Source organism: Homo sapiens, chromosome 19, assembly GCF_000001405.40.
Source record: "Homo sapiens chromosome 19, GRCh38.p14 Primary Assembly".
Lineage (NCBI taxonomy): Eukaryota > Metazoa > Chordata > Mammalia > Primates > Hominidae > Homo > Homo sapiens.
In genome coordinates, this window is record NC_000019.10 from 33,526,461 (window position 1) to 33,543,133 (window position 16,673).

The 16,673-nt window shown below is 51.4% G+C and overlaps 2 annotated features.

Moving 5' to 3' along the window:
• Positions 7,029–7,546: an enhancer, noted in NCBI's record as "H3K27ac-H3K4me1 hESC enhancer chr19:34024395-34024912 (GRCh37/hg19 assembly coordinates)". NCBI's record gives its function as "activates a minimal SCP1, AML or CMV promoter by ChIP-STARR-seq in primed H9 embryonic stem cells {active_cell/tissue: H9 hESC(primed)}" and the evidence as "EXISTENCE:reporter gene assay evidence [ECO:0000049][PMID:30033119]".
• Positions 7,547–8,063: an enhancer, noted in NCBI's record as "H3K27ac-H3K4me1 hESC enhancer chr19:34024913-34025429 (GRCh37/hg19 assembly coordinates)". NCBI's record gives its function as "activates a minimal SCP1, AML or CMV promoter by ChIP-STARR-seq in primed H9 embryonic stem cells {active_cell/tissue: H9 hESC(primed)}" and the evidence as "EXISTENCE:reporter gene assay evidence [ECO:0000049][PMID:30033119]".

Below are 16,673 nucleotides of genomic sequence, written 5' to 3' on the forward strand. Positions count from 1 at the left end.
TTCCTTTTAGGGACTCTGCTCAGGGTGTCATTTTAAGAAGGATGCTTGTCATTTTAGGATGGTGTCATTTCTTTTCTTTTCTTTTCTTTTTATTTTTTTTTTTTTTGAGATGGAGTTTTGCTCTTATTACCCAGGCTGGAGTGCGATGGTACAATCTCGGCTCACCACAACTTCTGCCTCCTGGGTTTAAGCAATTCTCCTGCCTCAGCCTCCGGAGTGGCTGGGATTACAAGTGCCCGCCCCCACACCTGGCTAATTTTTTGTATTTTTAGTAGAGACGGGGTTTTGCCATGTTGGCCAGGCTGGTCTCAAACTCCTGACCTCAGGTGATCCACCTGCCTCGGCCTCCCAAAGTACTGGGATTACAGGCGTGAGCCACTGCACCTGGCCAGGATGGTGTCATTTTAAGAAGCATTTCATGAAAGCACCTGCCGGTCCTTCTGTCCATGCCACCATCAAGATGAGATCACCTGTGTCTCCTCCCGCTCCATCCACTGGGATTGCTCCTGACCCCACCCCTGTCTGCACTTCCTCCTCAATGTCTTGTCTCTCCTCCAGCCTCTTCCTTCCCGTGGCTCTTTTGCTGCTCACCTGCATAACTACTTGGCTGCAGTCCCTTCTCATTCTGAGCCCCGACTCGTCAAGATTTTTCTGTAGCAAGCAGCTCCTGAGTCTCACCTCAAGTAGAAGAGGGATACATTCAAATGCTGTCCAGTTGCACAGTTGCAGGAGAGACAGACTCAGAAAACAGGCAGAGGCAGGGAGGCTGGCAGCTGAGTGCACCACCAGGCTACCCCCAGGACATGGCAGCTGGCACAGCTGCTCAGACCCTTGCCATCACTCTGCCCTTGGGCGTAACTGGGACTGATACAGTGTCCTGGCTTCACCCCCTGCATGCTCAAAGCGCTTGATGGGCAGTACAGCCAGTTGCAGTGCCCAAGTCTCATGCCCACACCTTGGCTATCATGTCCCTTTTGGCTTCTGCTGGGGGTGGGGATGTGTGTATATGGGGTGAGATGAGGTGGGGGTAGATACACAAAACCTACCCCCACAAGTAAAACCTTGAAAAGTTTAGCTTGGATAAAAGCCTGAATATTTCAATCAGAATGTCTAGAATGCAGCTATTTTCGTTTTAGCATAAGTGTGAATTTCTTGTTTGATGGTTTGGTATAATTTAAATTTTTGATTTACATGCCGGGGGACAGGATACACAATTGTCTTTCTTTTTTTGAGTGATGGGGGGACAGGGTCTCCTTCTGTCGCCCAGGCTGTAGTGCAATGCCACCATTATAGCTCAACCTTAAACTGCTGGGCTCAAGCGATCCTTCAGCCTCAGCCTCCTGAGTAGCTGGGACCACAGGCGTGTGCCGCCATCCCAGCTTATTTCCAGTGTCTTGGCTCTGGAGCTCTTACCTAGCTCTGCCTCCATGTCATTGCCAAATAAATATCCCTGAGCACAAAATGCTCGAATAGAAACTGTGTGATGGAGAAAGAAGTGCATGGACTTCAAAGCCAGAAGCCTGGGCTTGACTCCTGGCAGCTTGACGTCTCTGGTCCTCGCTTTCCCCGTTTGGAGATGAAGATGGGATGGGCTTTACCTCCCTGACAGGGCAGTTCCAAGGGGTCAGATGACCCCTTGAACACTAAGGCCCTTGGGGGCAGTTTAACATGATGCAAATGTGGTGGTAGTTACTTTCCTTATTGATACTTACTGCTCTTTTTTTGTTTTTGAGACAGGGTCTTGCACTGTCCCCCAGGCTGTAGTGCAGTGGCACAATCATTGCTCACTGCAGCCTCGACCTCCTGGGCTCAAGCAATCCTCCCACCTCAGCCTCCCAAGTAGCTGGGACTACAGGTGTGCATCACCACCCCCAGCTAATGTAAAACATGTTTTCTGTAGACATGGGGTCTCACGGTGTTGCCCAGGCTGGTCTCAAACTCCTGGGCTCAAGCAATCTTTCTACCTCAGCCTCCAAAGTGCTGGGATTACAGGCATGAGCCATCATTCCTAGCAGTACTTATTATTAGAGAACCTGGACACAGTGGTTAGGAATTGGATGTAGGAAGCTAGGTCCGATTCCTGGCACTGCTATTTACTTGCTGTGTGGCATAGGGAAAATAACCCAACCTCTCTGAGCCTCAGCATCCTCATTGGTAAAATGGGGACGATGGGTCCCAGCTGGGAGGATTGTTGAGAGGATTAGATGAATGTCACAGGAGACACTCAGCTCAGCCCCTGGCTCATGGGGGTGCTATCCTTATTTCAGTGGTCATGTGAGGGGTAGGGGCAGTGAGGAGAGACAAGCATCCTTATCTCCCAGGTGTGAAGGTGGGGGAGATGACCTGTGAGGTCACTGTAGCCCTGCTCAGCTACAGAGCGACCTTGACCGAAGGAGTGAGTCCATAACCCCAAGCCCAGGGGGCCAGTGCTTAGCCCCTTTGAGAGGACTGGCTGGGACCTGGGGTTGCCACACCACCTCAAGCAAGCAGGCTGGCAGTCCAGCCAAACACAGCAGTGCTAAAGGGAAAGAGAGGAACAAGGGTGAGCAGGAAGTCTTCCAGGGTAGGGGAGATGCTTCCTCGCTACACCCAGGGCCTCTGGTCCAGTCCGGGGCTTCAGCCACAGGGCTCTGCTTGTGCGCATGGATTTGCATGTAAGGAAGAGATAGCCTGCAAGGAGGTTTGTAAGAGGAATTAGAGACATGTAATAGATTGCAGAATTGACCTCAAATTCTTCTACGTGCTGCGTCCACAACCCGCTTTTGTGATGTTCAACCCCTCCCATCTAGAGGTAGAATCTATTTCACCAGCCCTTGAATGTGGCGGCCACGTGACTTACTTTAGAAAATGAGAAGGAAAGCTTGGAAGGTGCTCCTCCACCAGGCTCACCTTCTTGCCATTCTTGGAAGCCCTGCTACCATCACCATGGGAAGATGCCCTCGCCGGAGGGTGAGATACCTGGTCAACAGCTAACCAGCAGACACACAGGCGTGGGCAGCCTTGATTATCCAGCCTGAGGCCAACTGCTGGCCCATGAGTGAGTCCAGCAGAGACCAGCCAAGCCAGCCCCCGCATCCTGAGCTCTCTCAGGGATCGTCTTACCCATTGCATCCAGCAGCGTTTTAGACCATGATTATAACCAACACAGGGTGGAAGGAGGAGATCCTGGGACTACTGCCCCAGAGAGAAGGCTGGGGGAGACCCTGCAGGGCCTGTGTGCACAAGGAGCTCTGCAAAATGCAGGGTCCAAGCAGCACTGCTGTGTGGCCCTGGAGAGAGAGTGTGACCTTCACCTCCCCACCCCCGCCTGGGGCACAGCATGGCTTCTGAGCAGAGAAGGCTGCAGGGACCCGTAATCCCAGCTACATGGGAGGCTGAGGCTGGAGAATTGCTTGAACCCAGGAGGCGGAGGTTGCAGTAAGCCGAGACTGCGCCATTGCACTCCAGCCTGGGCAACAAGAGCAAAACTCCATCTCAAAAGAAAAAGAAAAAGAAAAAGAAAAAGAAAAGATTAATAGGTACGACTGTTGTGCCTCGTTCAGAGAGTCGCACGGTCTCTGAATGAGATGCCAAGTTCCCTGATGCCGTGATGAAATGACAGGAGTCTCACTCCTTTCCCCATTCTTTCTGGATATTCAGTTCAAACAGCTTTTGGGAAAAATCACAATTTTATTTCCAGATCTCAGAGATTGATATCATACTATGCATTTTAGGGCTTGTGGGGAAATGAACCGAAATCATCCTGCAGTGGTGAGGCCGGGGCAGGGGCTCTGCACCTGCAGGTCCTCCAAAGTGATGCCATCTCAGTTCCCAGACGAGCCCACCTGCAGGACCCACTATTGCCCAGCACGAGGTCTTCCTGAGCTTTCCTTTCCAGGTGTGGCCAGGCAGCTGCCCTCATTGCTCAGAGTCTCAGTACCAGCCCTGTTGGGGCAGCAGCCAGGCCTTTCTTCACAGGGATCTGGGAGCAGAAGAGACCTAAAATCTCCAGCAGGTGCCATCTCTGCTTGAAAGGAAGAGGAGGCCAAAACTGGGCTGAGAAAAGCTCATGAAATTGTTACGAATGTTCCCTGAACTCCAGGCTGGAGAATTGGCTGCACAGAAAACTGTTTTTAGCTTTGGATGTGGCACCAAGGACAGACTTTGTCCCTTCTGTCATCAGTGGATGCTTGTTATGTGAAGACTAACGGCACTTTCTGAGGGTCTCCAAATCCTCTGGGGACAGTCCACAAAGCAGAACGATAAGTGCCAGGCTCCTTTGCGGGTTAGGGGGATAGGTGGGTGGGAATGCAGCCCGCCCCCAGAGATGCTGATTTGCTGGGCTTGAGTGCAGCTCAGGCTCCTGGATTTTGCTGTTATTGTTTAGAGATGGGGTCTCGCTCTGTCACACAGGCTAGAGTGCAGTGGCATGATCCTAGCTCTCTGCAGCCTCCAACTCCTGGGCTCAAGCACTCCTCCCACCTCAGCCTCCCAAGTAGCTGAGAACACTGGCACGTGCCACCATGCCCAGCCAAATTTTTAATTTTTATTTTTTGTAGAAATGGGGTCTTGCTATATTGCCCAGGGTGCAGGCTGATCTCGAATTCCTAGGCTCAAGCCATCCTCCTGCCTTGGCCTCTCAAAGCACTGGGATTACTGGTGTGAGCCACCTTGCCCAGCCCAGGCACCTGGATTTTTAACCAACACTCCAGCTGCCTGTGGTTTGTAGCCAGGTTTGGAGTTCGTTGTCTGGGCAGCCACGTAAGGAAGCAGCCTCTCTTGTGCCTGGAGGTCAGGCTGGCCCTACTGGCTGCCTCTCCTGAGATGAAGCTTGGCCACTGGGCATCCATTTCCCAGCCTGGTTTATTCCCTCTCTTCCCCCAGTGAGGGCCCATCAAGCCCTCTGATACCGACTCCTTCTGCCCTCCCCACAGCTCGGGCAGGAAAGCTCACTGGCCTGGCCAGGGGACTCATGGGATCTACAGGGGCTCCCTACTCCCACCCAAGCCTGGCACCAAGTACAAGCTTGCTGAGATCAAATGTTGTAGCGTTGTGTGGAGAGAAATGGAAACAGCTACTTTGGAAGGTGCTTTGGCAATATGTGTAAGAAAGAAAAGAAAAGGAAAAGAAGGAAGGGGCCGGGCACGGTAGCTCACGCCTGTAATTCCAGCACTTCGGGAGGCCAAGGCAGGGGGATCACCTGAGGTCAGGAGTTCGAGACCAGCCTTGCCAACATGGTGAAACCCCATCTCTACTAAAAATACAAAAATTAGCCGGGCCTGATGGCACATGCCTGTAATCCAAGCTACTTGGGAGGCTGAGGAAGGAGAATTGCTTGAACCCAGGAGGCCGAGGTTGTAGTGAGCCAAGGTTGCGCCACTGCACTCCAGCCTGGGTGACAGAGCGAGACTCCATCTCAAAAAAAAAAAAAAAAAAAAAGAAAAGAAAAGAAATAGAAAAAGGGGTTAATTACTACTGACTTTACAGAAATAAAAATGATTATAAAGGAATATTATAAATAACATATAGCAACAAATTGGATAACCTATTTGAAACAAACAAGAAATAACCATAAAAATGGGCAACCAGCAGCCATTCTTTTTTTTTTTTTTTTTTTTAGACGGAGTCCTGCTCTGTCCCCCAGGCTGGAGTTGCAGTGGCAAAATCTTGGCTCACTGCAGTCTGTGCCTCCCGGTTCACACCATTTTCCTGCCTCAGCCTCCTGAGCAGCTGGGACTACAGGTGCCCACCACCATGCCCGGCTACTTTTTTTGTATTTTTAGTAGAGACGGAGTTTCACCGTGTTAGCCATGATGGTCTTGATCTCCTGACCTCGTGATCCGCCCGCCTCAGCCTCCCAAAGTGCTGGGATTACAGGCGTGAGCCACTGTGCCTGGCCCAGGAATAGCCATTCTTTTATTCCTCTACTTTCTTTCTTTCTTTTTTTTAAATCGAAACTATTTTTTATTAAAGGAAGGTGCATTTAGATTAAAAAAAAATTTTTTTATTCCTCTACTTTCTTAATAAACTTGCTTTCACAGTGCTCTGTGGACTCACCCTGAATTCTTTCTTGTGGGAGATCCAAGAACCCTTTCTTGGGGTCTGGATCCAGACCGCTTTCTGGTAACCACCATGGGTCCTGGAGTCTGTGGAACCTGTTCCCAGACACCCCTACCTCACCCCCACCCAGCCCATCACCACTGCTGTCCTGTCCCAGCTTCTGGTTGCAGAGTGACACGGTAAACTGTCTGGGGAGGGGAGGTTGGTTGCTTTGTGTTTTGCAGGAAAAGGCCTGGTTGTGATTTATAAGAATCACAGACAGAGCTCTCCAGGGGTGGGACCAAGGGGACACTTGGGGTCTGTGAGGACCAGGGGCTGCCATGGCTGATGGGAGTTCAGACCCCGCGTGCCGCGCCCCAATTCCCCACCCTGGCCCCACCACCCCTGCCTGCCTCACTCCAACCCCACCATCCAAACTCCATCTCTTCCTGCTACTGACCCCATCTTCCAACCTCCACCTCCTGGCCCCAGAGCCCCTATGCTCAACCCCAGCTTGACCCCGGAGCCCCACCTCCACCACACCAACCACTACCTCTGACTCTCATCCCCCTGCCTCTCCCCCTGCCCTGCCCCTTGCTTCCCACCCCAGGGTCTGCTAGCTCCTCCCACCTCATCTGCTCAGCTCTGGAGAGAATTGGGAACCCATCCTTTGGTGAGGTGGCTGCTGGTGAGAAAGAAAATGGTATTTGAGGCTTTTACTCATCAAGGAAGGGAATATCCCCCTCCCCCTCCCAGGACTTGCAAGGCAGCGCCCAGCCCCCTCCTCCTTCCTGGTTTCCAGCCTCCTGTGTGGTTTCCATGGATTCAGAGATTTCCTTCCAGCACCTGAGCCCCGAAGTGAGGGGGAGGGGAGGGAGGGGAAGGGCCCAGCCATCTAGGGGAGGGTGGTGGAGAAGCTGCTCCAGGACGGACCCCACAGGTCCGCTGGCCCCGTCCCCTGCTCCCAGAGACCCTGAGGCTGGGCACCAGAGGACTTGCTGGGGACTCGCTGGGGGCCTGACAAATCCCACCCTCCTTCTGGATGGCCCAGGGGAGGTCATCCCATTGGGTCATGTTGGGTGAGAAGAGCTGTCTCAAATCCTGACCCTGTCCCTGACCTTGACCCCTACTACATCCCAAATCCCAAGACCTGGTCCCAGAATCCAAGCCCTGGGTTCTGACATTCAGTGGACTGTGAGGAGGACAGTTCAGGGAAGGGACCAAGGACATCCCTGCATCAGCCTCCATCCTGCTGAGAACTCACTCGAGTCCTGTGTTTCTGGGGCTCCAGTGCTGCCTGCATATCTGGGATCCCAGAGAGAAGGCGAGAAGGGTTTATGGTGGGGAGTTAGTGAGCATCAGGCACTTGGGGTTCTCCATCCTGCCCAGCATGGCCCCTTCCAGAACAGGCACACGGTGTTTACGACCTCCTCCCCCTCTGCCAGAGTCCCCACTCTGCCAGAGTGGCAGGTGGAGAAGCTGTGGGCACTGTCGTGGTGGCTGCCCAGAACCCCGACACCCTTTCTCTTGGAGGGCAGCTAGGGTGCAGGCCCAAGCACGGCCAGGCCCATGCCCCTGCCCAGGCTTAGCTCAGCCAGAAAAGATTCGTCGTGGCTGCAGCAGAGCAAGAATCAGAGCCGGAGGCTGGGGCAGCTGTGGTGGCTGCAAGGGCAGAGCCAGTTGCCCACAGAAAAGCTCGGCCCAGGTGGGGTTCCTTCCCCAGCCCAGGACCTCACAGGTTCTAAGAGCTGCCCAATATCCTTCCGATGGGGTCCTTTTCTGCATACATTTGTCTGCGTTCATTTTTATTGGTTGCGGTTGAGAGCTCATCCTGGCATGACATTTGCCAGTGGGTGGGTAGGTGGTCTACACTCTTGGTTAGGCTCTTGGAGACCAACTGAGATCCAGAGGGACTACTACCATATGAGGACCCAGTGGTCCTCTGCCCTGGCTTCCAGTAGAACCTGCTGGAGTTTATTTATTTATTTATTTATTTATTTATTTATTTATTTATTTATTGAGATAGGGTCTTGCTCTGTTGTCCAGGCTGGAGTGCAATGGCGCAATCATGGCTCACTGCAGCCTTGAACTCCTGGGCTGAAGCCATCCTCCTGCCTCAGCCTCCCAAGTAGCTAGGACTACAGGCATATGCCACCATGTCCAACCAATTATTTTATTTTTTGTAGAGATGGGGGTCTCACTATGCTGCCCAGGCGGGTCTCAAACTACCAGGCTCAAGCTATCCTCCTGCCTCAGCCTCCCAAAGTGCTGGGATTATAGACTTGAGCCACTGCACTTGACCTCTTGGAGAATCTTTAAAAGCTTCTAGCAGGTGAGGCACAGTGGTTTGCACCTGCAATCCCAGTACTTTGGGAGGCCATGGGAGGAGGATGACTTGAGGACAGGAGTTTGAGACCAGCCTGGGCAATATGGTGAGAGCTCCATCTCTAAAAAACTTTTAAATAAAACAATAAAATAAAAGCTGTTAGTGCCTGAACTTCACCCCAGACCAAGTAAAACAGAATTTCTAGGCATGGGAATTTGTGGAAACTCCCTCAGAGTTTTCATGGGGAATACTGGGATTTTTGACAGCTCCCTGGTTGATTCTGCTGGAAGCCAGGACCAAGAAAGCTTCAAGACAGAGTCCTCCCCAACAGGGACAGTAGGTGCTGGGGGCAGGGGAGGGAAGGCAGGGGGAGCCCCTGGGCATGGCCTCCTCTCTTCCCACCCTGTGCGTGACAGCTCCCCCTTGGTCCCCATCCCTCTGCCTTGCGCCTGCCTCCCAAAGGCTGCCCACGGGTCCTGCTCCCTTTTCCTCTTTGTCCCTTCATCGCACAGTCCAGATCTTGCCTCAGTCTTCACAGTCAGCCCAGATGACTCATGAAACCTGGAAAGGAAGCCATTCATTTGCAACCTTAAAACAGTCCTCTTCTTTGACCCAGAAACTCCGCTCCTGGGTATACGCTCAGCAGAAATGTGAGCCGACGTCTGCTGGCAGACACAGGCGAGAGGTGGCTCATAGCTGCACTATTCAACATACCCCCAAACTGGAAACTCCCCAAATGCCCATCCACAGTAAACTGGATGAATAAAGTGGTGTTTTCATCCAGTGAAATTCACATCACAAAGAGGATGGATGTCAGAAGCACGACACTGAGTGAGATCAGCTAGACACAAAAGAATCTGTGTTGTATGACCCCATTTATTTAAAGTTAAGAAGAACACAGAAGCCAGGCGCGGTGGCTCATGCCTGTAATCTCAGCATTTTGGGAGGCCAAGACGGGCGGATCAAGAGGTCAGGAGTTCGAGACCAGCCTGGCCAACATGGTGAAACGCTGTCTTTACTAAAAATACAAAAAATTAGCCAGGCGTGGTGGCACGCACCTGTAATCCCAGCTACTTGGGAGGCTGAGGCAGGAGAAACACTTGAACCCAGGAGGCAGAGGTTTCGGTGAATGGAGATTTCACCACTGCACTGCAGCCTGGGCCACAGAGTGAGGCTCCATTTCAAAAAAAAAAAAAAAAAAAAGAGGAACACAGGAAAAACTAATCTAAACTATGGGAAGTCAGAGTCATGGCTCCCGGCAAGCAGTGAACGGAAAGGGACACAGGAGGGACTTCTGGGGTCAGGGATGGCAGGTTTAACTCGTCTGGGTGGTTACAGGGGCATATTTGGTTTGTGAAAATGTAAGAAGCTGTGTGCTTACAGCTATGCACTTTTCAGTGTGTATTATTCTTAAGAAAAGCTGTCACAATTAATCTAGCTGCCCTCAAGGAGGACAGGGGAGAGAAACGTTTGTATTCACTCTTTTCAAGGCAGGAAAGAAGAAAATGTAACCTGTTAGGTTTCCTTTTTTTTTCCTTTCTTTATTTCTCTCTGTCTCTCCCTTTCTTTCTCTTTCTTTCTTTCTTTTTTTTTCTTTCTTTCTTTCCTTTCCTTTCTTTCTTTTTCTTTCTTTTTTTTTTTGAGATGGAGTCTTGCTCTGTCGCCCAGGCTGGAGTGCAGTGATGTGATCTTGGCTCACTACAACCTCTGTCTCCCAGGCTGAAGCGATTCTCCTACTTCAGCCTCCTGAGTAACTGGGATTACAGGCATGCGCCACCATCCCCGGCTAATTTTTGTATTTTTAGTAGAGACGGTGTTTCACCATGCTGGCCAGGTTGGAGGTTTCCATTTTTAAAGGCAGTTGGACATTTATATCCTGCCAGGGAGTTCCCCCTACTGCTCCCCAAAAGCTTCCTTTTACTCTCACACCTGGATTGCACTAGACTCCAAGGAAGGAGAAAACCTCCACTTGGGGGCTGGGAGACGGGGACAGGAGGAGCAGCAGCCCAGCCCAGCCCACCTCTTTGTCCCTCAGAATCCACTGAACACCTTTCAGCCTTGTCCCGCTGGGACGGTCAGGATTTTAGGGCTCTGGGGATCACTTCTTATTCTATTTTTTTTGTGGGGGGTGGGGCACAGAATCTCACTCTGTCATCCAGGCTAGAGCTGAAGTGCAGTGGCGCGATCAATTTTGTTTGTTTTGTAGAGATGGAGGCCTTGCTATGTTACCTGGGCTGGTCTTAAACTTCTGGCCTCAAACAACCCTCCCACCTTGGCCTCCCCAAGTGCTGGGATTATAGTCATGTGCCACTGCACCCTGTTCACACGTCATTTCAGATGGTAAAAGGAGCCAAGAAGAAAACAGACCAGGATGACCAAGGGACTCTAGAGAGGGTAGAGATGACACTGAAGCTGAGGGTTGAAAGGGCCTGTCTCCTCCTCCTGCCAACATTGGCCTTGGCCTCAAGTGATCCTTCCACCTCGGCCTCCTAAATTGCTGGGATTAGAGGCATAAGCCCCCGTGCCTGGCCTCACTCCCTATTTTTGAAACTGTCTCTTGCTTGCCTCCCAGGTGCCCTCCTTCTCCTGACTGCCCCTCTGGTCAGTCCTTCTCCAGCTGCTGAGACTCAGCCCAACCCTTGGGAAGACCCTGTCTTTTCCAACTGCCCATGAGGTGCAGGCAACTCCAGCAGCCCTAGTTCCAGCTCAGAGTCTTCCCTGGCTCCATTTCTGTATTGCCCATGGCCCCTCTCAGTTATTTCCAGGTGTATTCATCCGTTCTCATGCCGCTGATAAAGACATAACCGAGACTGGGCAACTTACCAAAGAAAGAGGTTTATTGGACTCACAGTTCCACATGGCTGGAGAGGTCTAATAATCATGGTGGAAGAGGAAAGGCACGTCTCACATGGTGGCAGGGAAGAGAAGAGAGCTTATGCAGGGAAACTCCCCTTTTCAAAACCATCAGATCTCATGGGACTCATTTGCCATCAAGAGAACAGCGCAGGAAGACCCGTCCCCATAATTCAACCACCTCCCACAGGGTTCCTCCCACAATACAATGGGAATTGTGGGAGTTACAATTCAAGAAGAAATTTGGGTGGGGACATAGCCAAACCATATCACCAGGCAAGACAAAGCCTTAAACAGGCACAGCTTACCCACCGCCCTGCTCACTGCCTTGGTATTCCCCATCTCAGAATCCACGAGGCCAGCTGTCCACATCAGAGACTGGGTGTTGCCCACTTTCAAAGATACATCCAAGCCATCACCAAATGCTGCCCATCCTTCTAAATATTTCTGGAATCCCTCCCCTCGCCCAGCCCTAGTCTCCCTGCCCTGGCCAGGCCCCCTCTTCTCCCACCCCGGTTATCACTAGAACCTTCAACAAGACCCTCCCGGCTTCTGCTCAGCAGTTCTTTAAATGAAAATGATCTGGCTGGGCTTGGTGGCTCACACCTGTAATCCTAGCTCTTTGGGAGGCCAAGGTGGGTGGATTACCTGAGGTCAGGAGTTTGAGACCAGCCCAGCCAACTTGGCGAAACCCTGTCTCTATTGAAAATACAAAAATTAGCCGGCCGTGGTGGCACATGCCTGTGGTCCCAGCTACTCGGGACGCTGAGGCAGGAGAATTGTTTGAATCCAGGAGATGGAGGTTGCAGTGAGCCGAGATTGCACCACTGCACTACAGCCTGGGCAACAGAGTGAGACTCCATCTCAAAAAAAGTTTTTGTTTTTTTTTTTAAATAATAAAAGCAGTGTGATCTTCTCCCTCCTGGCTGCTTACAAGGATGCTACATTACTCTTAGGCCATCGGAGTGAGGCCTCAAGCCCGGCTGCATTTTAGCTATGCCTGGATCCCATCCCCAGCCCCACCTGAGCCTAACTCCTGGGTGTGGGGCCTCAAACATTGGTACAACTTGACCGTCTCCTGTGGTCAGCTCCAGCCCCATCTTCCTGTGTTCTCCTTACCAGGTACTGGGCTCCTAGGCTTCTGCACATCCAAGACGCTGTGCCCCTGCCTCAGGCGCTGGTCCTCCCTGCCACATCCTGGCTCCACCTCCTTCAGATATCAACTTGGCCCCTTTCTCTCCTTCCCTGGCCACCCCTGCCTCCTGCCTGCCCACTGCCCTTGCTGTATGCACTCACCCGCACCTGCGTCATCCCCATCAACCCACACTCTCCTGGGAAGCCCTTTGACTTGTCTGTGTTCCTGTGGGGAGATAGCTCCCAGGAGAGCAGGGCTCACCCCAGCTTCCACCTGCCTGGCATGGAGTACACACTCCTGGACAAAGACTCTCTCCTCGGCCACACTCAGGCTCCTCCAAGCCTTCTTCTTGATGAGGGCTCAACCTTGGCCTGTAAGAATTGCTGATTCGGCGGGGCACGGTGGCCCACGCCTGTAATCCCAGCACTTTGGGAGGCAGAGGCGGGCAGATCACTTGAGGTCAGGAGATTGAGACCAGGCTGGCCAACATGGCAAAACCCCGTCTCTACTAAAAATACAAAAATTCCCCGGGCGTGGAGCTGTGCACCTGTAGTTCCGGCTACTCAGGAGGCTGAGGTGGGAGAATTGCTTGAACCCAGGAAGCAGAGGTTGCAGTGGGCTGAGATCATGCCTGCCACTGCACACCAGCCTGGGCGACAGAGTGAGACTCTCTCAAAAACAAAAACAAAAAAAGAACTGCAGACTCTTAGCCCATTTCCATCCACCAGCACCCCTGCACCCACCAATGCACACCAAGAGACTTGGAGCAAACTCTAGCCTGGGGTCTATCAGCTGAAGACTGCATTCTTGGGAAGACCCAGACCCTGCTTAGAGAACTCAAGCCTGCCAAAAATATTTACTGTCTGTTCCTGCCAGCATCTGAAGATAGGGCCCTAATTTCAATAAGCACCAGTTAGCAAACTCAGATGGCTTAACCCCAGTGATCAACCTCCCCTCCCCAATTTTCTTTTTCTTTTTCTTTTTTTCTTTTTTGAGATGGAGGCTTGCTCAGTCACTCAGGCTGGAGTGCAATAGCGTGATGTTGGCTCACTGCAACCTCCATCTACCAGGTTCGAGTGATTCTTGTGCCTCAGCCTCCTAAGTAGCTGGGATTATGGGCACAAACAGCCACGCCCGGCTAATTTTTGTATTTTTAGTAGAGACAGGGTTTCGCCATATTGGTCAGGCTGGTCTCGAACTCCTGAACTCAAGTGATTGGCCTGCCTCAGCCTCCCAAAGTGCTGGAATTACAGGCGTGAGCCACCACACCCAGCCCCTACCCACTTCTTATTTCACCTCCCTGACTCTGCACAAACCCCCACTGGTTCCACCTCCACCCCCTTTTCCCTTTAAAATGCCCAGTCACCGCTACCTGGGTTAGAGTTGAGCTGAGTTCTACAGTAAAGTCTCTCCTACTGCAGTAGTTACTGACTGAATAGCATCCATCTTTACCACCTCTTTTTTTTTTTTTTTTTTTTTTTGAGTCAGGGTCTCACTCTGGAGGCTGAAGTGCAGTGGCACGATATCAGCTCACTGCAGCCTCAACCTCCCGGGCTCAGGCAATCCTCCCAACTCAGCCTCCCAAGTACCTGGGACTACAGGTATGTGTCACCGTATCTGGCTAATTGTTTTAATCTTTTGTAGGTGAGGTCTCGCTTTGTTGCCCAGGCTGGTCTCGAACTCCTGGCCTCAGCCTCCCAAAACACTGGGATGACAGACATGAGCCACCATGCCCGGTGTCTTTACCAGCTTTAACTAGCATCTGGCTTTGTGTCCCTCCAACATCCTTTAGCAGTGGCTGAACGCTTGTATGACAGACAGGTGGAATGTGAACAACCTCATTCCCACCTCCCAGAGGAAGATCTGAAGTCCTGTGGCTGTTGCACTTGGACAAGCCCACGCAGGAGGGAGTGGTACCCGCTGAGCCAAGCCCCCTGCTCCTAAGTGAGCTTTCCAGGTGTCCTGATTTCCTGGGGCCACTGTGATGAATGATCATGCGCTGGGTGGCTTAAACAACAGAAGTGTGTTCTTTCACAGTTTGGGAGGCCAGAAGTCCAAATCAAGGTAACAGCAAGGTGGGTTCCTCCTGGAGTCTCCCAGGGAGAATGCATTTCCTGTCTCTCCAGCTGCTGGCAATCTTTGGCATTCCCTGGCAGCATCACTCCATTCCCTGCCTCTGTCTTTGCATGACGTTCTCCTCTGTGTCTTCCTTGTGTCTGTCCCTTAAAAGGACACTCATCATTGGATTTAGCACCTGCCCTAATCCAGGATGATCGTCATCTTGAGATCCTTTACTTAATTACACCTGGAAAGGTTCTTATTCCAGATAAGATCACATTGTGAGGTTCCAGGTGGACGTATCTTTTATGGACCACCATCCAATCCACTACACCAGGGCTCAGCGGTGGGTACCCTCCCTTCTTTCTGGCACAGATGCTGGCATCACTAGCGTGGGAAGGCAGATCCATGAGGTGGGGAGAGCTGGCCAGGGATGGTCTCAGGAGTGTGGAGGGGCCTGGGATGGAGAACCTGAGACCCCCCTGCAACCCAGCTTCTGGCAGACACACCCTCCTGGCCTCCTCCCCAAAGACAAACACTCGGTGTAAAGAGACCTGGGTTCAAGGCCTGGCTTCACTCCTTGACTCATGTGATCTCTGGCAAGCACGTGCCCTCTCTGGGCAGAGATGATTCCCCAGCTCCTCACAGCCCTGGCTCTGGGACTCTGAGTGGGAGCTGACAGCAAGAGCTGTGTGTCTGCATCTCAGAGCCTGGCACCCTTTACGTATCAGAGCACAGAATGACACTGAAGAAAGGAGTGATTGAGCAGTGGCTGGGTGTGCCTTGGGATGTGCTGAACTGGGCATGTGGTGGGATCTGGGAAGCCCCTGAATTCCCCAGATGGTCATATCCCCACTGCAGAGGTGATGTTCCCTGCTGATATACCACTGGTGGCTCAGGGTTGGGCCATGCATATTCTATCACTGGAGGATCAGGACATGAGGACCAGCCGGGGTCAGGAGTCTGCAGCTGTGCTTAGGCAGGAAGGTGAGGAGAGGACCAATATTTACTCAGCTCCATCTCCTTTCAGTCTCATAATGTGCCAACAAAATAGGTCCCATTATATGCCCAGTCTATAGATGAAGACACAGAAGCTCGGAGAGGCCGAGCAACTTGCCCGAGGTCACATAGTTCTTGAATAGGGCAGGATTCCAACTTGGTCAATTAGGCTTCAGAGTTGCTCCCTAACACATCATCTTCACCCCTGAGGCCAGGCCAGGGCTCTCAGTGCCCAGAGTAGAACAATAAACACATCACACAGGCTTATCAACCACATCAGGGACCCTGTCATTCTATTCTCAAAAAATATTTTTAACCATGGTTGCATTAGGGTTGTAAGATTTTCAGAGCTCTTTTTCTGTTTTTCAAATGTTTGCTAATGTGCTTATATGATCTTTATCATTAAAAAGGTAAACATTGAAAAAATCATCTACTAAGTGGCTTCTGTCAAGAGTGCAGCTAGGGTAGTTGTCATTCGGAGGAGGCTATTCCAGGGACAAACCAACAATTTAAAGGTTTTCTGCTGGGTGCAGTGGCTTACACCTGTAATCCCAGCACTTTGGGAGACCAAAGCGGGCAGATCACGAGGTCAGGAACTTGAAACCAGCCTGGCCAACATGGTGAAACCCCGTCTCTACTAAAAATACAAAAATCAGCCAGGCGTGGTGGTAGGCGCCTGTAATCCCAGCTACTCGGGAGGCTGAGGCAGGAGAATTGCTTGAACCCGGGAGGCAGAGGTTGCAGTGAGCAGAAATCGTGCCAATGCACTCCAGCCTGGCGACAGAGCGAGACTCTGTCTCAATAATAATAATAATAATAACAACAATAATGAATTATCCAAGCCCTGTTTCCCTTGTTTCTACCCAGATCACCAAAAAGTGTATTTCTCTGCTTTCACACAGAGCTGTTTTTACCAAACCATGTCTTAACACTCTGTCCTTGGTTTCGGCTGGGGATCAGTAGATTAAATGTGCACGTGTAGATTGTCTCTTTATTTCCCACAAAACTGTTCTCTCAAACACCGCCTATTGTGTCCTTCACATTTCTTGCAAAGATCCAATTGACAAACTCCCGTTAGCTTCATAGCCGGGAGAAATGCTCTCTTGATCAATCTGTAAGCTCCCGAAGAGCTCAAAGATGTCTGTTTTCACCCCTGCTATTTTCACAGCGCCCAATAAAGTACTAGGCATTTACTCTGTGCTCAAATATTGCTTTTTGAGTGGAAAAAAAAGGCGTTGATTGACTCATACAGCTGAGAAGTCCAAAGGAATGTCTTGCTTGCTT